The sequence below is a fragment of the Homo sapiens genome, chromosome 7, assembly GCF_000001405.40.
Source record: "Homo sapiens chromosome 7, GRCh38.p14 Primary Assembly".
Classification (NCBI taxonomy): domain Eukaryota; kingdom Metazoa; phylum Chordata; class Mammalia; order Primates; family Hominidae; genus Homo; species Homo sapiens.
The window spans coordinates 91544672-91566760 of record NC_000007.14 but is presented as its reverse complement, the minus strand read 5'-3'; the positions used below and the strand labels follow the sequence as shown (position 1 = coordinate 91566760).

At 40.3% G+C, this 22089-nt stretch overlaps 3 annotated features.

The window, feature by feature from the left end:
• Positions 7986-9185: an enhancer, noted in NCBI's record as "P300/CBP strongly-dependent group 1 enhancer chr7:91186891-91188090 (GRCh37/hg19 assembly coordinates)". NCBI's record gives its function as "activates an origin of replication core promoter dependent on BRD2, BRD4, P300/CBP, MED14 and CDK7 cofactors, with strong dependence on P300/CBP, by STARR-seq in HCT116 cells {active_cell/tissue: HCT116}" and the evidence as "EXISTENCE:reporter gene assay evidence [ECO:0000049][PMID:35650434]".
• Positions 8462-8511: an enhancer, noted in NCBI's record as "active region_26255". NCBI's record gives its function as "activates an Ori minimal core promoter by ATAC-STARR-seq in GM12878 lymphoblastoid cells {active_cell/tissue: GM12878}" and the evidence as "EXISTENCE:reporter gene assay evidence [ECO:0000049][PMID:35858748]".
• Positions 14201-14401: a silencer, noted in NCBI's record as "peak6630 fragment used in MPRA reporter construct". NCBI's record gives its function as "represses an SCP1 promoter by STARR-seq MPRAs in K562 erythroleukemia cells {active_cell/tissue: K562}" and the evidence as "EXISTENCE:reporter gene assay evidence [ECO:0000049][PMID:32103011]".

Here is a 22089-nt window from a genome sequence, read left to right as displayed (position 1 = left end):
GTTTTTCTAGACTTCTTTTCCCTCCTCACCACTAAGAGGGATACAAGATGAATATTAAGAAATCTTCCACCCAAATGCTGTCTGCATGCACATGTGTGCATGTCTGTGTTCTGCACGCTGCATGTGTGCCTTTCTCCTGGGTGCAGATGGCTACTCCAGGAGCAGCACATGTGGGCTGTGTATGTCTGAAAGTCAGCTCAGTTGTGCACATGGAAAGAAGAAAACAAGAGAGTGAGGTGGAAACCACACAAACCTAAATCAAAAGCAACTGTTCTACCATGAGGAAAGCAGGCGAACCTTGCTTTGTGCACACTGCACTCTTTCTTTGCCGCCCAGACTGATCTTTGAAATAAAATAAAGAAGCATGGCAAACTAACTGAAACATAGGTAGAAATAATATATTTGGGTTTCGGAAAAAAAAATATCCTGGCATAGCTTAAAAGGCACCCATTTCATAACAACACATGTGCAAAGAATTACAATAATTGCAGCGCACACATCAGGAACAGACAGAGTGAACAATGAATATTAAAAACACATTCCTAGAGCTGGCCCTGTGGCTTGGCAGCCGCGCACAGCATGGAGACCTGCGAGGGAGTCAAAGGAAGCCTCTTTGCTTTTCCAGAGCTGTCAGGGCTTGGCAGGAGCTGAGGTGGGAACCTTCGGTGTATGAGGAAAGTGGAAGGAGGAAGGTGGCGGTGACTATGCCCAGCGGTGTGACTCCTGTCTCCTCCTGGCAGAGCCTAGGGTGGCTTCAGGAGGGTTTCATAGAAGAAGTCAGTCTCAGCCGTTTGGTGCTCCAATTCAGAGCTGAAGCGGAGCCAGACTGAGAAGGAGGAGGGATGGGGATAGAAAAACAAACACCAGAGAACAAACAGACAGAAGGTAGTGCTGGGAACAGCCAGCCTGTGTCCTGCAGGAAAATCCCAAGTCCTCTCTCTCTCCCTCCAGGCCGCCTACAGCATGGTGTAGCATGAGGGCCTTCGCTGCTGCTGAGACATAGACTGGGAAAGTGTTTATCTCCATGAAATAAATACATTGATCTGCCTTTTTTCTTTCAATATTTGCTGTGCAGTGGGGGATGAATTCCTCTAGTGGTGTGCTCCAGAACCTTCAAAGGCACATTAACCAAACATTAAAGGTACGTAATGATCTTTTCAATGAATCCCTTCCATTGTCAGCAAAGACAAAGGCCCTTCTCTTAAGTACAGCTTTGGTTTTGAGTGTTCAGATTTTGCCTCTTGCCATTGGCAGGGAATTGACCCTGGAATCCTTGCATCTTTGGCAACAAGAGAGGTCAGAGGGTGGGAATCTCTAACTGGAGAGTTTGGTTCACATGCTGAGAGTTGAGGTCTTAGGATTCTTAAGCTGCCGGCCATGAACATCTAAGGAAGCATGGAGATAGAATTCAGGGAGCTCCATGAAGGTGGATGAAAAAAAGAGACATCTTTAATCTTTATTTTTGATAATCTCTGAAATTTAGCATTCTTTCTATCACAAATGTGGGAAACAAACTATAGTCATGTTAGTAATACTTATGACTTTGTCACTAATAAAAATTACAGATATTTTAATGCTATTTTGCTGTTTCAGATGTCTTCAAATTATTATTTCTATCCCTCACAGTTCTGGAATTATAGTAATTATTAAACCTGCTATAAGATCTTATTATTTTATGCATTAATGAAGAGGCAATTATCATAATAAAATACTTTGATAACTGTATTTTCATGTAATTGGTTTCCCTTGACATCATATTATGTACTGTATTTTATTCTTGTTAAAAAAGATGATTCTGAGAACGGGTCCACAGAGCACATGGCTACATTACCAGAAGGTTCCATGGCACACACAGCATTCTCTAGACAGAAAAGAGAATCCAGACTCAAAAGCAGTTGTGACACGCTGGACCCTTCACACAGAGGTCTCCACACATGGGGGAGAGAAGGGAAAGGCAAACATATGTCTCCAGACACAACACTGAGGATTTAACAAAGAAATTTTACTTATCTACTCCTTAGATATGCTCAACAAATGTTAGCATTTGCCAAGATGAACATTTGCATTTTCTCTTCAACAATTTTCAGCAGAGCTCCAAAATGATTACATTAAAAATAAAATAAAATAAATCCCTCCAACACCTCCCATGTCTCCAGATACTGGCCAGCAGTGTTTGCCATTGAATCACAATCAACAAGGTGGAAAAAGGCTGATGATGAACTGTTTTGCCAGTTTCTACACCAAGTGGAAGGACAGAGAACATCTATAAAAGGGATGGGGAGAGAATCAAATAATACAAGACAATATGGGATGACATCTCTGAAATCAAGGCATCAGCTAAAAGAACTGACACCCACAAATGTCAGAGTGGTGAGTTAGAAAGTTCCTGTATTTTCAGTTGTCCTCATGACAGAGGGTAGGAGGAGTTCAGATTTGGAAGCAATGATTCCTTTGATTGATTAGAACCTGAAATCCTGCTGAACTCTCCTTGTACCAATGCAGAATCTAGCACTGGGAGGGGTGCTGAGAGAAACAGGCCTACTCACAACACTCCAAAATATGAACCTCAGTATTTGGCTCACAAGGGACAAAAGTACTGCGCTGGAGAAAATATGCAAAATAGTAGCAATCTTCATGGACAATTTTTTTAACTTGAAAAAAATATTGAATGTTATACTAGAGTTCTTACTATATAAGAAAGTCAAGAGAAAGAGAGAAATGTTTGGAAGGATCTAGATTCATTATGTATCAGACACTATATTAGTTTTTTTGTACATTTATCTTATTTATCCCTTTCAACACTTTTATGCGGTATTATCAGCCCAACTCTTTCGGATGGGGGCACATTGAAGTTTAGATCATGAAATAACTTGATTGAGGTCACAGAGCTAGTCAGTGGGATTTAAACCTAGGTTTGTCTGACCCCCAAAACCACTATTCAGTTATTTCAAATGGTTCCAATTATAAAAATCTCTGTGACTAAATCATTAAAATTCAAGAAGTCATTATATAAGTTGAAGGATTAAATTTGAAGTTAGGAACATGAATGGCAATGTGGTAACAAGTTACATGTTGTCAAGAGAAACTTTATAATAGTGAACAAAATTGTTTCTCATCTGCAGAAAGCCAAATGGGCTTGTCCATCTATTTTAATCCTCAACTTAAATAAATATAAAAGCAGCCACCTGGAATGGAAGGGCTCCTTGATGATCTACTCATTTGCCCACACAGTAGTGCTCTCTGTCTATTGTCAGAATGTGAAACTGTCATCCCCATTCCTAGTCTGCAGAAAATAGGAGAATCCATCTGGTGCATGAGATTCTCACCACATTTTGTTGAGTTCAAAGTGTGTTTTTGCCCAAATTGCCATCTCTTACCAACTGTATCTGCAGGGCACCCAAGGTTAGAGTTAAGGCCAGGAAAATAGCTATTAAAAATTAGGAAAAAGGTAACAAAAGAAAATCTCAAATACATGCCAGGATATTCATCAAGGCATCACTGCTCTTCACCATCCGTATGCCTCCTCCCATTTCAAGGAAAGCTGTGATGAGAGAGTGGACATATTTGAGGTCCTCCTTAAAATAATTTTGCCCCATCACATCATGGCAAGATATTGTAGTCTGCAAGCTACAGACATGAGGTGCTACTTTGGGATGACCTTTAAGGCCTTGTCCAGCCTTAACTTGCTGTGATTTTTGGGAGGTTAACAATTGTTAAGAAAGAAAAACCTCTAAAGGTGTTTTCATAATGCCATGTAGCTGTTAGAACTAAAAGGGTTCTTGATTGAAGTTCAGTTATGCAAGACTACAGCTCTTTCATGCTGCAAGTTATAGGACAAGTTATAGGATTTGAAAGACTTAGTAAATAACCTACGATCAGAAAATTCAATTTGTTCATGAGGTGGAGAAAGGCATCCTGCTATTAAGCAGTCAGATGGAAAACATGCAAACCACAGTTTGTGGAAGAGAAAAGAACATAAAAACCCTTGGGCAGAAGCACGAGCAAGTGCAGGAAACATGTTCAGCAAAGTCGACGTGTCCATTGTAAATGTGGGAAGCAGGAGCCTCAACACCAATTGAAATTCCAAACTGCAATAACTGGATACATCACACCCAGGTCAATCCTTCCAGTGGGGAGCACTGAGGAGTCTATGAGATTCACTCACACAGAGCTGGGTTTGAAACAGAAGATTCTGGTCAAGTAAAAATGCTCTCTGAGTCAGGCACAGCCAGTGATAAGCAAAGCAATTAGCCAGTGATAACACCAGCAATAAGCAAAGATGGCAAAAGTCACAATTAGACAAGGCCACATCTCTGTTAGGCAAAAAGATGAACTCTCCTCTGAAAATAGAAGAAAAACTCATCATAAAGCACACACTCATTATTGCTGCAGAAGATCTTGGAAAATTGCTTTGAATGGATTGGCAAAAACTATATTTGCATTAAGAATCACCTCCCTCTCCCAAAATGGATTATTATCTATTGCAAAATCTGGCTGCTCTATATTGCCTTATTTTTCTGGTGTGCTTTCTTTTCCACATCAAAAAATAACTGTGGTGTGTAAGCTCAGATCCTATAACGCTTGTATTTTTTTGGCATCTGTTGTAATATTGGGGTAGTGTAATCAGGGCCACTGCTAACCTATTTGCTATTCTTGTGCAAATTTGAAAAACAGCTTTCCTTTCTGCAGGTGGATCACAGGCCCATGCCAGGGCAAAGAGTTTGGTAAACAGAATACGGGCTGGATTTCAGTCCCACTCTCACCCTCAGCTGGATGTGCAGTCCCAGGTGCAATATTATCTCCATCACTAGATGGTGGGACCTGCTGAGTTCCATTTTACATCAGCGAGGGTAGCAGATGCTGTTGGTGCCTGGCCATATCCCTTCAGCCGTTCCAGAGGTTACCTGAATCTGCAATATTCAGCTTTCTGTGTATATCAAGATTTCTTAACTCAAGCTCCTGTTTCTCTCTGCCTGGGCTTTTCCTGGCTTCAGGAGCATGCTGGACAAGGCAGGGGTATTAATGCCCATAAGCAGTCCTCAACCAGAGTGGTGGAGTGGAGTTGGTGGATAAATCCTCCAGCCTCCATGCCCCTAGGTGAGTCAATTCCGAGGCATGTCTGCACAGTATCCTATAGGGTCCTCAGCATTCACACATCCTTTGTTGATTTCCTTCCCTTCCTTGTTTCACTTTCTGTTATGAACCGAATGTTTGTATTCCCCCCAAATTTATATGTTGAAATTCTAACCCCCAGTGGGATGGTATTAGGTAGTGGGCCTTCGGAAGGCAGTTAGGTCATGAGGACAGAGCCCCGATGAATGAGATTAGTGTCCTTATAAAAAGGGACCACAGAGGGTTCTCTTGCATTTTTTTTTAACCACGTGAGAAGTCTGCAACCTGGAGGTTCACCTGCATCAGCACATGACCATGCTGACACCCTGATCTCAGACTTCCAGGCTTCAGAACTGTGAGAAATAAATTTCTGTAGTTTATAAGTGACCCAGTCTATGGTGTTTTGTTATAGCAGAATGAACAAATGAAGACACTTTCCCATTCCTTCCTTATGCCTCCTAGGATCAACTTCCAAATCCTGGCATTCTATCCCTTGTCTCAGAGTCTGCATTTGAGGAATCCAAATTAAGACACTGGGCCTCCTCACTATGATTCTAACTCTTGGCTTGATATACACCCCCAAGATTTAGAGCATTAAATAGAATTTTCAGCACATAAAATTCTTCATGAATGAAGGTAGTATTTCACTAGTCAGGTAACATTAACAAAAGAAAAAAAAATCACACCATAAGGAGGGTAGAAGCAAAATGGTTACCCAGAGAATTTACAATGAGAAAAGTTTTCTACAACTGTCTTCAAGAAAATGCACTTAAAGGCAAAGCAAACCGTATGTCCTGGCAGTAGGCAGGGTAGGGGGAGAGAGGAGAAAAGGGAATGACTGTGCTTGGTAACATCTTTGCAATAGAGAATGGCCTTCAGGTTTAGTGTGAGGTTAGGTTGTAAGGTTAGGAGGACTGAGTGAGTGAAGGAGCAAGGGCTCAATGCTTTGAACCTCACTGCAGAAGCTTGCTGGAGTCTGGCCGAAAAGAGAAGCAAATGGGTGTGGGGGGAGACATAGTGTGGAGCAGGTACTTTTTAATCCGTCCATCCAGTTTTAAAGTTCACCCCTAAATCTGGGGATTCCATTCAAACATTATGGAACCCTGTATTGGTATGTGCTGAGCACAGTGCTAGGCACTACTTCATGAGAGAGAGAAATGGACACAAATCCTGTCCTTAAGAAACTTGCAGTCTAATAGAAGACCTAAGATATGCCAAGACCTTTGGCACAGGCCAAAATAAATGCCCACGAAACAACTACCTTCTAGACTTTACGCATCTTAAGGGCAGGGCTGTGTTTTCTACATCTTTATATGGCATGCCTTGAATATAATGGGTGTTCATAGATGAGTGGTGTTTGAATAACCCAAGGAAGAATCTCATTATATAACATAAAGTTTCATGGAAAAGCAGAGAAGGCAGAAATCCATTGTAGCTGGAGAAATAAGGGAAGGCTTCCTGGGAGAGGTGGCTTTGGAGCTGACTGACAGTTACAAAGTAAAATACGCCCAAATAAAATGGGCTCTGTGGAACTCTGCTTTGCTTGTCAGCAGGGATCTGAGATCAAGTTTGGAGATACGTCTTTTCTTCCACTATTCCTTGGAATCTCATGGGTATATATTCAACTCTAACTTCTTAATATTTTAAAAGTGGTTTACTCTGAAAATATCCCAAGCCTGAGCCTTTTATTCTCTTGACATCAATGAAAGGGTTTTATTTTATTGCTTTCACTGCAACTAAGGGACTATTGTTAGTTTATTCTTCATTGTTGCTCAGAGATATACTTAAAAACACAAGCATACATTTGAAGATGGGAAACAAAAAGATGGAAAAATGCATCTATTTAGGAAAGCCAAGCCTCTGCAAGAGAAAACAAAAGGCTGCCAAGTAGATTTGTGTTTTAATTTGTGATCCTTCTTGCTCCCAGCTTGTAGCCACCTAACTCTCCTTCACACCCGATCTCACTTTTCCTCTGCCAGGACTCACAGCAATGCCTCATCAGTGGGTGTTCCATGTATGTCAGGAGGACAGCAAGAGTTTATGTGGAGGACCTTTGCTCAGGGAAACCCTTTAATGGGCAGAGCTCTCCCATTGATCCAGCAAGGTCAGCACCTGCCAGGTGGATAGACTACCTTTTCATTAATTTGTGAACCTTATGAAATTGCCATTTGTGTGGGTCAACAAATGGTTGAAACCAATAGAACAACTAGCCCACCACCTAGGAAAAAAAACAAAAAACAAAAAGTCAACCTCAAAGGGTTTTTTTTCTCTGCTGATCTCAATTTTGCCACTGAAATCTATCCACATAGCACCTGTGCTGTGTGAAAATTCTTAGTAAGTCTAATGAGGTCACCACAGGAAGAGAAGATTTGAAATTCAGTCCATGAGCAGAGATGGGTAAGGAATATCAGAGACTGTGCCTACTCTTAGATCGATCTCATGATCACGCCTCTCTGCACCCCTCCCTGTGGTGCTGCCTGAGAGCTGATCCAAGTTTTTGTCCCCCTGGAATCAGACAACTGCTCTGTTCCCTGATTTCTTACCTCTAGACATGGAAAAATCAGTTTTATTCTGGTATCTTCCTAGGCTTCTCCAAAGCTACTCTGCTTCTGCCTATAAACTTCCTTCTCTTCCTTCTTCCCTCTCCAGTGAACTCACTGCGTTCTAAAAGTTTAGGCTTTTGGAAAGCAAAGCCAGGAAGCCCTGAGACTTTCTACTTTCTGATTATAAAATGAACTTCCCCTGGGGCAAAGCAACGCGGAGTCTACTTAAATGGGGCAGGGGGTAGTCAGAAAAAAAGTGGAGGAAAAAAAAGTAATTAATATCACAAAATATTTAGCCACAAGCAGAATATATGGTAGAGTGGTAGGGATTAGAAATGTACAAGAACATCGTCTCCTTAATAAGCTTCCCCAGGTCGGATTTTAATTGTCTCGAAGCTTGAGAGACTTTAAGACAAAAAGAAGAGTATCCTGAATTCATTCGCCTCCAGCTGTCTTCCTCTGGGACAGTGAACTAGCACAATCCACACCTCATGAAAGACTAAGGCTGATGTGGGTTTGTGAGATGGATTGGGTTGGTTCCCACCTTGTTTCAACTGGTACATAACAAATAATCTGAATAAAAGCTCAGGAATCACTTCGAGACATTCGGGATCAGAGCAGGACAGGCTAAAGGAACTTCTTCTCCAAGCCCTAAGGTTATGGTTCCCTCCTTGCATGTTGTTTTTTTTCTCTTAAAGCCATTCAACATTTTTATTTTACGACTGCTTCAGGCTCTTTGCCACCCATTGGCATGATGGTGGCACTGGTTTACGTTTAAATTTCTTTTTTTCCTTGACTGTCTGTTTGCCCAGTTACCCAGGTGATTGACTCAGCTACTTATGAGTCAATCTTCTGAAAAGTCATTTTCAGAAGTCTTACCATTTATTTGCACCATCAACAACAAATATTTCAGGCGTGAATCAGAGCGCCATTGTCTTTGTGGAGGTCGTCATGGTGCTGACTTGTCTTCATTGGTGTTCTCTCCTGCGTGGGATCCTGCCAAGGAAGCCTCTCACAGGGCGAGCTGGAGAATGTATTACCATTTAGAAGAACTAATTTCATTTAGAAGTTGACGTTTCAGCCAGGTCTTCTGAGAGTTAGAGTCATTGTGAAAGTGCACTTGGGATGATCTAGAGAAGACAGTAAACAACAAAAACTAAAAGCCAGCTGACATACTGCCCCAGAAATTTCTGTTAAACAATGTTTAACAGAAACATTGTTTCTTTTTGGGGGTGGGTGGGGAGGAGGGCAACTTTGAAAAATAGATGCAAGGACCACATAAAAGGGATATGTACCAATAAGAAAAAATTTGTGCCAGATAGGAAATGAGATATAAAAATGAACTAAATATTCCAGTGGAGTTAGGAAGAAATAAAATATTTATGGATAAATCTTATTTGGGGATGACAGTATGAATGCCAAGGAAAAACGAGAAACACCAAGCCTGCTGCTTACTGAGTTAGGACATGTTCTTTCATTAGTTCCTTAGTGTGTAAGGGGAGGTGAGGAGTTCCCTGGCTTGTTGTGGGGAAAAAGCTTCAGAGGGAAAGAAATGGGGCAGGCCTAGGCTTGTTGGTGGGGCTGAGATGTGAGCAAATGAGACCTAAAACAACAGTCGCAATGATGAAACGCGTCTAAATGGCCTCAGAAGGACTTGGAATGCAGCCCTGTCTATACTATCAGACCATTTCATCTCTGTGTGAAGGAAGAATCCAGCATGAATTTTCTTCCCCCATTCTGGGCAAGAGGCAGGAGGGGTTGAAAGATAATAGTGAATGGCACTTTCCTCTCCTGAGTATGGCACTGAAAGGTGTTGAAAACCAGAGGAACATCTACTGCCATCTATTCAGTTCCACAATTATACAATTGTCAACCACGGGCTCACAGATTGAGCAAGTTTTTCCACTTACAGGAAAAAAGTGGCCGGAGGAATTTAACCTTTTTTCTTCAAGAGATTAAGCAAAGACGTTTTCATGGCCTTAGGCATGCTGGGGCCAGTTTCCAACCTTGAGCTCACTTGCTGTCCACAGGTGGCAGAACAATCTCTGCTGACTGTTCTCACAGGTGACCTCAGGTAGGACGTAGTTCTGTGCACTGCTTCACAGCAGATAAACTGAGTCAGAGGGGCTTGTCTCTGGGCCTGGGAGAGGACAAGGAGCCTGGAGTTCCACAACCCAGAGCAGAACACAGATCTCTGCTTCAGCCCTTGCCCCCTCCTCTCACCTTGACACACCGTTGGAGTTTAGACAAAGGCTGACAGATCCTGAAACTTTCCTGGGGAAGGTCAGCCTCAGATACTGACAAGACACCAAGGGACTGCAGCTGCTTACTATGGAAAGAGCATGACCCTATGAAGAAAGGAGATGAAGGCCTGTAAAAGGGACATTTTTATAAGCAATATAAAAGGAGATACTTTTTGGGTTCATTTCTTTTTGTGCAAAAATGACAACTAGGGATATGAATCAAAGTTTGGGCTGGATTAGAAGTATGTGCTTCAGAAACGGCCACTGGCAGGTCAGTCTACACTCTGGTTCATGGCTAGTCCTCTTCTCACATCCATCAGCTCCCAGCTCTGTTACCCTTGGTAGCAGTGTGGCAGAGCCCCGTAAGCTGTGCATAAACCAAAATATATGCTCCATTACTACGTGATTGTGTGACCTTGGACAAACTGTTTAACTTTGCCTGAGCCTCAATGATATTATCAATGAAATGGGGATGTTTCTATTTTCCTCGTGCCAAGGGCTGTTGTGAGAGTCAACAAGAGGACACAAAAGGAAAAATTTTGAGCACAAAAACTGCTGTACACAAGTGTGAATTCTAGAAAAATCAAGCTGTAAGCCTGGTGTTCTGTAGAACATTGTTTCTCTGTAGAGCGGTAAGTGATAACACTTTAAAGAACCGTTGAAAGTGTGTGCAGTTTTACTTTTTTGAAGGGTGGCCTCATAAGCCTTAGATTCCTTTTAGCTTTCTTCAGGAGGTACCGCTTGTCCCTATATACTGCCATTTTTCCTTATAAAAGAGTTCTGAGTGCAGTGGCTCACACCTGCAACCCCAGCACTTTGGGAGGCTGAGGCGGGTAGATGACCTGAGGTTAGGAGTTCGAGACCGGTCTGGCCAATGTGGTGAAACCCTGTCTCTACTAAAAAAAAAAAAAAAAGTACAAAAATTAGCCGGGCATGGTGGCATGCACCTGTAATACCAGCTACTCAGGAGGCTGAGGCAGGAGAATTGCTTGTACCTGGGAGGTGGAAGTTGCTGTGAGCTGAGATCGTGACATTGCACTCCAGCCTGGGTGACGAGCAAAACTCCATCTCAAAAAAAGAAAAAAAGAGTTCCCAGACCCTCTTTATGTATCACATGGTGTCCATTTCCCATGAAGAGGAGTGAAGGTTTTACCTTACGGCTCCTCTTAATCTTCCTGACAATTGAGGTTTTATAATTACTTTCGTAAATTGTATGTTGTTAGGTCCATTCGGGAGAAAGTACTTGTTTTCCATAGACAGCTGGTAAAATTTCATAAATCCAGAATCCTACATTCTTTGGATTTCAGACTCTGTAGGTCAATTTCATTAGAACAAAGAGACAGAAGGGGAAAAAACCATATCCCCCTGAAAGCGTTTTCTCTTATGTGGAACTAACCCAAAGGCAGTGAGGTTTGTTTCTACCTTCATTCTGCCGCACCATTTAAGACTTAACATTCCTTCGCCCTGGTGCCAAATTTAGGGCAGGGTTGTGGGGAGAAAGTGGATGCCAGGGAAACATACATTTTATTTTATATTCGTACAAATGTCCTCTTCAATTTTTGTAACAGGCCTGCGAGCTTCCTAGGCAGGAGGAAAATTTGAATGAACTCTGCTTTTAGTGACCAGGAGTGGGGACATAACAAGAGCTTTTCAGCCTCTCTGGTTACAGAGATAAGTACAAAGGGTAACTGGCATTAAGTCTGTAGTAATAGCTGTTATAAGTACTGACCATGATTTGAATCTCTCGATAACTGATTCTGGGGAGGCAGGAATATTTATCAAGCCATTAGGAGAGGCTGTTTCGTGCTGATAAGATGCCTACAACTGATGAGGTCCACCTGAAGACCGGATGAGGCTGGGCTGGATTTACAGCCATTTGCAGTGAGAGCAAAAACATGGTCTCCTTAAGAACAGCGTGAGGCATTCAGCGTGAGGCATTCAGCGTGAGGCATTCAGCAATCTGTTTCCTGGGGCAAGCCTATGGAATCTTAAGGAAACAAAGTTGGTGAGCACCCTAGCATGTAAGGTGACTGGGATACTGTACTGATATTTGGCCAGTAAGTCACAATTTCATTGATGTGGAGGGAGGGTGAGGAAGTGGTGGTGGGGGGTGGGGGGGATAATTGAGACAGAAAAGTTATTAATCTGTAAATCTCATTTTTCAGAAAAATCTCACACTGAATTATAAGGTGCCAGACATGGGATTATCCTGGGTTTTTAAAAAAGTGAAATCACCCATTTTTTACAACTGCAGGGCCTTAGTTTGGGTTATTAGCACCATGGGAGAAGTTGCAGTACAGGCAATATTAAAGTTGAAAACAAACAGCAGTAAAGCAGTGGCCTACATTTTATATTCCTTGCCTGTTATGTTTTGCACTCATGCATAACCTCAGTACCAGCTTTTACATTTTGTTTTTAAAAAATACAAATATACTATCTCACACTTTAAAAAATGACTTTAGTTGGCTTCTAAAATAAGAACTTGTTTTTTTAGATTGGTTCCATTTAAAAAAATAAAATATAGGATGCAATGCAGATATGCTGACCCACAAGGGCAGTTGAGTGACCTTACCAGTAAGTCTCTGGGACATATCCCCCTAGTGTCTTAAGGGGAACTTCCTTTTTACTTTCTCCATAGCTGATTTTTCAAAAGCATATAGATTTCATTAGCAATACAACGTTTCTACCTCTTTTGTCTGTGTTCAACATTTGCCTAAAGCTTTCCTATGAGAAATAATATTCATGGAGGATTGCCTGGAAGATATGCTGTTATTTTATTCCACTGGATATGCTTGATTTTTATCTCTGTATCAAACCAGACCATCAGAGAAATGACTATTTGCATCTTACTGGTTTTCCCTCCTCTTGAAGAGTCGGTTTTACTGAATTTGTAAAATCAAATTTGGTGCTTTGATGTTATACCTTTGGTCTGCTTTGAAGGCATGTTAAACAAATAGCCCTATGTAATTTGCTGCTGTCAGCCTGGCTGTGGTGAAAGGCATTGTTGCCTACCTCTCTCCTCTGTCCCACCCAAACATCTACTTTAGAAGAAGAACTCAGTCATCCCAGCTGGGCTGAGTGTGAGTGTGTGTGTGTGTGTGTGTGTGTGTGTGTCCTGAGCATCTGATATGTTCTCCTTTTATCAGTACTGTAGCTTATCCAGGGTCCCTTTTGGTTTTGGTCCTGAAGACTCACAGACACCCCTGTGGCCCACCTCTGGTAACTGCCTGTGGCTGTCTCTGGTGTTTCCTCCATCTAGTTTCATCTTGCTCTTCTCACAGGAAGTACAGCATCGCTGTTAAGAACACAGGCTCCGGAGCCAGACAGCCTGAGTTTGAATTCTGCTCCATCGCTTTCTCTAGGGTGTATGACTTCCAACAAGTTTCTTAACTCCTCTGTGCTTCAGTTTTCTCATCTCTAAAATAGAGACAATAATTGTAACTGTTTTTTAGAGTCCTGGTGAGGGGTTTAAAAATGTAAAGTGTTTAAGATGATGCCTGGAACAGAGTAAGCTCTATATAAATGTTAGCTACTATTCTTATTAACCTGATTGGTCTCTTTAAAAATCGTATTTTACTCTGCAGGTTTTAGTTACCTCAAATTATCTTGGGAAGAGATGGGAAACACACAATTCTAAAATGTGAAAATTTAAATGGAGAATTAAGGTGACTATCTGTTTAAGCCCAACCAACATGCTATTTTTTACTTTAATTATCTGGATTTTTTATGTAAAAATGCTGTTTTGCCTGAATTGTTTTGGATGATCATGGCAGTTTCTCTACTTTACTCCATGTGAACAGAGAGTCTCCCTATTTCTTTCTTAAACATTAAGCTCAGTGGTAATGCCACTGAAGCCAGCTGGGGCTTAAGTGAATATTAGGAATAATATCAATAATAACCCAATACTCAGTTGTCACTCCTGGAGCCCTTCCTATCCCAGCCTATTGTGTACAGAGCTTACCTGAATGCCTCTGACTTCAAGCTGTCAGTGGGATCCATGACAAAAGTCACACCCAGAGTTTAAACCTCAAATTCTTGCTATTCTGCCACTCTCCCAGCAGCAGGTGAACAAAGGACCATGGGCATCAGACAGGGAACCTGCCTCTGAATGGCAGCCTGAACCCTCTCCTTGGAGGCCACCTCCCAGACCCCAGACTAGCTATGCCCTGGGAGACAGCCCCAGTTCCTGAAGGCTTGGGCTTTGCTTTTGAAGCAGCAAGAGCCAAGGAGAAAAATGATTCTTTTCCAATGTGCCTCACTCCTGCCCAGTTCAGTGTCTTCCAGAACAAATTTCAGACATTAGATTCTCAGTGCGGGGCTTGCTTCAGAGCCCAGCTCTTACAGTGGTGCTAAACAGATAAAATATTAAGCATCAGTGCATTCCCCAAATCATTAGCACAGAATCCACAGGTAATGAATTCAGCTTGAGGCTATTTGGGGCCTGTTGTTTTTGTTTCCCACCCATAGCATGCGCTTTTCAGTAATGTACTCTCTGCACAAGATGAGGGTACATATACTGTGTCCCCAGAAGGCCTGGAATGTCTCATTTCTGCCAGAAACTCTAGCTCTGGGGTCTCCAAACTCTGTCAGGAGCAGAGAAGAAGAAAAGACAATCATGTAGCTATCTCACTGATGAGAAAATGCTGTTTCTTAAGCCAAATTACTGATTTGAAACAATTTGGAGGATTTAAAAATATATAAAAATAAATCAGAAGTTAAAGAGTACACCTTTCCCTCTTTTCATAATTATTTAAAATTGCTTCATTAGTTGACCAACGTCACCTTTAATTCTTACACTGACCCTAGGAGGCTGGTAGTTTGTGTTCCTATCGTCTCTGAGCTCCCAGTAGAGAAGTCAGATCTCAAGAGAAACAGGTTTCTACAGGTCTCCTGATGAGCAAATGGAGACAGATTTTGAAGGCAGTCCCAGCTGCCTGATCTGGAGTTTTCATCATAGTCTAACAGTAGTCTAACTCTGATTAAGTGGAAAATGGCAAATTCACTTTGCACAGAGGCAACCCAAATATTTTTAGTAAAAGAGAGAAACCCATTTTCAATTTAGAGATGTTATCAGCTAGATGGATAAATTATGTAGCCCAAAGTGGGCTGCTGAGCTGCAAGATTTTGGAACGGAGTTAAGTTCATTAAACTTTCATATAAACCGTTTCATGTACATTTGTGTGTGAGGTAATAATATCAGACTTTTGCTGTTTGCCCTTTGGAATATAAACACCACACAGTTTAAATAGAAGGTATTATTTGAAACTTGTTTCTCTGCACTGGACTCATGAAGTCAGCTACTAGTTATTTCCTGCCTGGCATTTATAAATCTGTATTGGTCTTTTAGTTTAATGGTTTAATGCTGTGAATCATAGTAAGGGGTTGTGGAGATTGTGTTTAAGAACTATCTTCAAACATGCAAAACAGCAAGTTAATGTAGAGTAAGCTTGGTTATTTGATCTTAAATCGAGAAGAATACTGTGAACAAATAGAATGAGGAGTAAAAATGGGAAGGGAAAATAATTCTACTCTAATGTAAGACAATGATAAGTCAATTTAAGGATGAATACAATATGGCTAAAGGCTGAGCAGCAGATAATAATATAGTGTGGCAGAACCACTGGACAAGTTGGTGAATGAATTTGTCTTCAATAATTATCAGGTATCAGGACAATTTCTGTTGTGACAGAAAACCCAGCCCAAGTTGGTTTAAGTCAAAAGGGAATTTATTCACTAATGGAACTAAACATTCCAAGCATATCTGGTTTCAGGAAAGGCTTTACTTAGCAGGGATACTGCGACTCTGTTGGTTTGGCTCTGCTCTCTGTTATATGTTGGGTTAATTCTTTAGCAATTATTTACTCTCATTATGTTTAAATTAAGATCCAGAAGTTTCATTGAGTTTAATGGCATCCCATCATCTCTGATGTCTTTCTCCAAACAAATCACTGTAGCCAGAAGATCCTGAAGTTCTGTTCAGTTGGGCTTAGGTCACATGATATCTATGGAGTTGAGCGTGGAGTCATTTTTTGCCATTCCTGCTGTAAGTGGAGCATCGGGAAAGAGGATACTCAAAATAGAAAGGAGAATTAGTAAAGGAAGTAGGATGAATGGATGCCAGAGGCCAAAACCTAGTTTTTACTATACATAGCATAGTCATTAATAGGAGCAAGAAAGGAAAAAATATGCTAATACAAACATTCTAAATAGCATTAACAATAAACAGTAGCCCAAAGTATGATTATTAATCTTCTGTTTTAGAGACATCCATATGTCATTTTGTACTTGTGCATACTTCAGAGAAGTATTAGCCAAAGACCTTGACATTTAATTGTAATGAAAGACCTAAAGTGTTTCCAGAAGTTTTCAACTGGGTGCAGAGGTCTATTACACTGAAAGTGTAACAATGTGCTTCTTTATCAGCTCTTACCTTTTCTATCTTGAGCTGAAATATTTGTACTGAGAAAAATAATGAGAGCTAGATTAGGGGATTTGCCTTAGTCCATTTTGTATTGCTATGAAGGAATACCTGAGGCTGGGCAAGAATTTATAAAGAAAAAAAAGCAATTGGGCATCTGAATGGGTGAGGCCTCAGCCTACTTCTACTTTATAATGGAAGATGAAGGGGAATCAGGGTGGGCAGAGATCCCATGGTGAGAGAGAGGAAGCAGCAGGGGCTAGGGGGAGGTAGTGCCAGGCTCCTTTTACCAATCAGCTCTCTTAGAACCTAATAGAGTGAGAACTCACTCACTCCCCATCTACTCCCATCCCAAGGGAGGCATTAATCTATTCATGAGGGATCCACCCCTATGACCCAACACTTCCCATGAGGCTATACCTCCAACACTGGGGATCAAATTCCAACCTGATGTTTAAGGGGGCAAACATTTAAACCATAGCAGGATTCTTCAGGTAGGACTTACGCTGGAAGATGATGAGGTCAGCCTTTAAAAGGCATTTGAGAGTTGTATAAGTGAGCTACAAATCCCATGGTTCCTGTCTTACATGGATGTGTGCAAGTGCAATGGAGAAGTAGTAAGAGCAACATAAATGTAGTTGATGAACTCTGAGCACAGAGGCTGAAGTTGAGCACTTGCAAACCAAGGGAGAAAACCATCTGAACTTAGTTTATCAGCACTCTAACCAGAATGTAGCCAGTCGACCATGGGCCAACATAAGATTTTTGCATTATTGCTGTATTTGCATTCCTTTTTCCTCTGTCTGGAATACATATTTCCCAGCATTTCCCATGCTTGGCATATGCCCATCCTTCAGATCTCAACTCTCCAGAGAGAGTTTCCTGACTCCCTCACTTTACCCATTTACTTAACATTCTGTTTATTTCCTTCACAGCACCTTTTTTTTAAATTTAAAACTACTGTTTATTTACTTTTCTATTGCCCACATCTTCCTACTAGAATTATGCTCCTTGAAGGTAAAGATGTTACTTATATTACTAACTTCTGAATGTCCAGCATCTAGTACTTGGCACACATAGAGGGTCAATAAATGTTTGTTGAATAAATGTTTGGGACACAGAAAGAACAAAATGTGTTGGAAATAAAATAGCTCACTTTGCCAAATACAAACAACAAATCATGGCCACTTCTGGCAGAGGTTCTGAACATTTTTTCTGTGCAGCGGACCCTCTGGCAGTCTGGTGAAGCCTGTGGACCCCTTCTAATAGTGTTTTTAAATGTATGAAAATACAGTTTTGATTCAATTTTCAACTTATATCAATTTATAGAAACACAGTTATCAAGATATTTAAAAATTTATGATACAGCAATATATGTGCCTCTTGAGGTAGACAATAACAAGATCTAGACTGATCTAATAACTAACATGATTTTAAGGTAATGAGAGTAAATTACTTTTTGAGATTTTGCAACAGCTATAATGTGATGAGAAAATATGTGTGATTTCTATTGGTAACAGTAGCTTGTTGTCTATTGTAATACTTGAAGGAAATGCTAAATTTCATTAGAAGTTAATGAAAACAAAGGTGTAATTTTTTTCCTCATCTAAGTATATGGACCCCCTAAATTCTCCCTACACAATTCTTAAGGGGACTGTTAAGAACTCTTGGAGCTAAGGGCTTCACCATTCCATATATATGCTGGAGTTAAGGATTAATGTTAGGGCAATCAGCAGTTATGCCTAAATCTTGTTTGTAATTGCCTGGTGTGTGTATATATATATATACACACACACACACATGCATACACAGTCATGTATTACACACACACACACGCACCATAAATATATATATGCTAGCCTTTAGAAAACAGTATACAGTTTACCCAAAAAGATGGCTTAGTTCTTATTTAAATAAAATGTTTTTGCCCTCATAGAGTACTGAGCTAAAGGACTCTTTAATTAAGTACTGCTAAGGAAAATAACCTGACCTGGTGACTCCACACATATTGTTGTTACAATTCTGGTTCTGTGATTCGATGAGTGAGAAAACAAACATTTATGGAATATATGCTCTTACAGGGATAAACTATTTAGCTCAGGTGGGTCAAGATCCTTAACATATGCAGAGAAGAGTTAGGACTTCAGACGGCTCTCTTCTATAAGACATTTGCACATCACATCTTCCTTTTGCATGGGAAGAGAATCAGTCCATTATGAGTTTTCCCTTTTTCAGTAAATAATGAAATAAATATTTCAGTGGCTATGATGTGATGCACTTATCTCTCCAACATTATGTTTTATAATAATTCCTTTATTTCTGTCTTTGTAGCTTTTACTAAATTTCACAGGGGAAGAGATTCACTTTCACCACTAGTTTGGAAATATGTAAAGGGTTGGGCATTACAGATCTCATTCTTTATTCTCACTCTTGACCAGAAAAACATCATCCTGCAAAGGAGGGTCCCAAAAGAGAAATAAGAATTTGGGGTAGATTGCCCCCCTTCAGCTCACTGGGACAGCATTTAGTGCACCTCAGAGGGTATGCGGAAAACCATCTGTGATACTCCTCAAACTGGAAGATGAGGCTGTGTGAGTGAGTGCATCCATTTCAATAAGGACTTCAAAGAGGTGTTTAAGAATTTACTTTCCACTATGACTGCAGGATAAACTATGATCCTCACACACACTTTCTCTTGATTCTTCCAAGGTATCATTAAGAATTTAGAAATATGAATATAACTTTAAAAATTTTCAAAAATTGTGAAGTATAGTCATTTTTGATATAAGGGTCTTATTTTTCAAGTGTTTTCAATGCCTATACCAGCAAGAGCTAGTTCTAATTTAATTTGACATGTGCATCAGTCAGTATATAGTGGATTTTGTCATGGTAACAAACAACCCCTAAATCTCTTTATCTTAACCCAAGAAAAGTCTATCTCATGCATTTTTCTTGTGGTTCATTATAGAGCCTTCTGCTCATTGTAGATACTTGGAGATTGAGGCTGATGGAGGCTCCATCCTGGCACACACTTTCACGATCATTATACTAGGGGTAAGAGAATGTGGAAAGCATGAACCGGCTCATAGCACCACACATACCTTCTCTCATATTTTACTGTCTAAGGAAAGTAGCATGGCCACATCAAACTTCAAAGGGTGGGGGAAGTGCAAGTCTACCATGTGCCTGGAAGGAGAAAAGCTGGGAATGTTTGTGAAAGGTCTTATGACTACCACAGTGCACCCTCTGGTTACTATATGTTTTGTTCACTCCTTGTGCCCAGGGGAGAACAACCCAAAAGTCCCACCTATTGAGAGCATCAAGCTCAGAGCTCAGGATCTCTGAGGGACATTCAGTAGTCGCTATATCAAGTCTGGATGTAGTTCTTCTTAAGCCAGAGATCTGTGAATTAAAAGATGTGTTTTGTTCCCTCTATACACCTGATATATAATGGTGGAACAGGAATAGAAAAAACTCAATAAATATTAACATTCAGAAAGAGGAAGAATGGGATACACCTAGGAATTCTAAAGTCCCTCTGGGCAGAGGTGGCAGGAGCCTCCATCCCTGAGGTGCAAAGAATGTTCCTTCATTAGACCTGATTCTGCCCTTTGCTCTTCCCTCTGAGAGGCTTGCCCTTCTCCATTATCTCCTTGGTCACATCTGAAGTGAGCCTTGGAGATTATGTCTTATTTGAGCATTAGCAGCTTCCTCAGCCTGCTTCGTGCCTCTCATGTTGCTAGCACAAGGGTCCTTTTAAACTACAATGGCAACCTGTTTTAATTAGGCTGGTAGTTCTATTGGCAGTACAACTTTCTCCAAAACTTGGCCAGCTTCTTAGGTATTTGATTCCAGTCAGCCTCATATTCAAAGAGCTCACTCACAACTTTTTTTAGACATGGTTCCTAGTTATGCTGTATTTCTTTGCTTTCTCCCCTCCATATCCTCTCATTGTTTCTGTACTTGATTGTGGGTTCCTTGGATTTATCAGGATTCAAAGGGAGAGCCACACTAGTAGTCTTCTTTCCCTTAACATTTTTGTCCAATTGAGAGGATTTACTGGGTTTGTTCCTCAGTTGGAATCTCAGACACCTTATTCCATTCAGAAGCTTTTGTTTGTTTGTTTTATTTTATATCCTGTGTGATTTATATTAATTATTTTCTGTCCTTTTCATTATAACTATCCTAGTGGGTGTGAAGTGGTATCTAATTATTATTTCAATTTACATTTCCCTAATGACTAATGACACTGAACATCTTTTCATGTCTTTGTTACCCATTTGCATATCTTCTTTGGTGTTCTGTCCATGCAAGTACTTTGTTCATTTTTAAATTGGGCTTTGTTTTTATTGTTGAGTTGTAAGAGTGCTGTATATATTCTAGATACAAGTCCCTTGTTAGATATATAATTTGCAAATATTTTCTTCCATTCTGTTGATTGTCTTTTCACTTTCATTATGGTGTCCTTTGAAGCACAAAAGTTTTAAATTTTGATGAAGTCCAATTTATCCTTTTTTCCCTTTTTTTTTCTTTTGCTGTGCTTTTGGTGTTGTATGTAAGAAACCATTGTCTAACCCAAAGTTATAAATATTTGCTTCTATGTTTTCTTCTAAGATTTTTATGTATTTAGCTTTCATATTTATGTCCATAATCTACTTCACTTGGAGGTAATTTTGGTGTGTGGTGTAAAGTAGAGGTCCAAATTCATTATTTTCCATGTGGCTGTTTTGTTCAGCACCATTTGTTAAAAAGACCATTCTTTCCACCACTGAATTGCCTTGGCATCCTTGTTGAAAATTTCTTCTTCCTTCATTTTTTTCTTTTCCTCTTTTTAAAAATTCAGTTGTTGTCTGTCATCCAGCAGCCGTCTTTCTCTGCACACATGCTCTTTTTTAAATCTCTTTACTTCCATCTCTCTTTTCTGGTAACATGTTCTTTTTGTTCCAATTGATCGTTCTCTTAAGTAGGTTTCTCTTTAAAATTTTTTTTTTTTTTTTACTTCAGACTCAGATCCAGTATCTTAAGCACATTAGTTCCTTAAGCAGGGGCAGATGACTTTGTTTCCCCCAACTAGGTTAAAGCCTCCTGGCAGCCTAGTCTCTTTTTATTCCTAGCTTGGCTTAGAAAAGCCACAGCCTACCTAGTCAGCTCTTCTTGGTGTCTTACAGAGAGGAAGATCCACACATTTACAGGAGACCATGTTTCATCTTCCTCTCTGGGCTGCAGGTATGTCTCTGAGCCAAGCTCTTCCCAGAAACTACTTTGTGGAAATTAAGAGAGCATCTGCTTATCTTCAGTCATTCCATGTCACCCACAGTGAAAATTCTCTCCATCAAGATTCCCACAAAGCCTGAGGTCTCTCTTGTCCATGGATTGCAGCAGTCTGTTCTCTCAGGAGAAGCATGAAGAAATGAAGTTGGGTATGGGTTTCTGCTAATCCCTAAATAAATATCTATATATTTCAGGAAGTAACCTGAAACAGCAAAATCTAATTTCGGTGATGGTTATGTTTGTGATGATAAAAAATTGACAAGTTTCATGGCTACCAAAGCAACATTATATTTTAAAAATTTTAATATAAAACAGTATTTATGTTTTGGTATTACCTTTTTCTGAAACTACGCTGTTTTTGTCAGGCAACAGCATCAATTCTTGGCTCAATAATATCTCTTTAGCATATTAGTAATTATGAAAAGATAATTCAGCAAGTTGCTGCTGAAATGCAGGAATCGGGTGTCTTAAGTGTTATTTTAGTCATGATTGAGTAATCAGA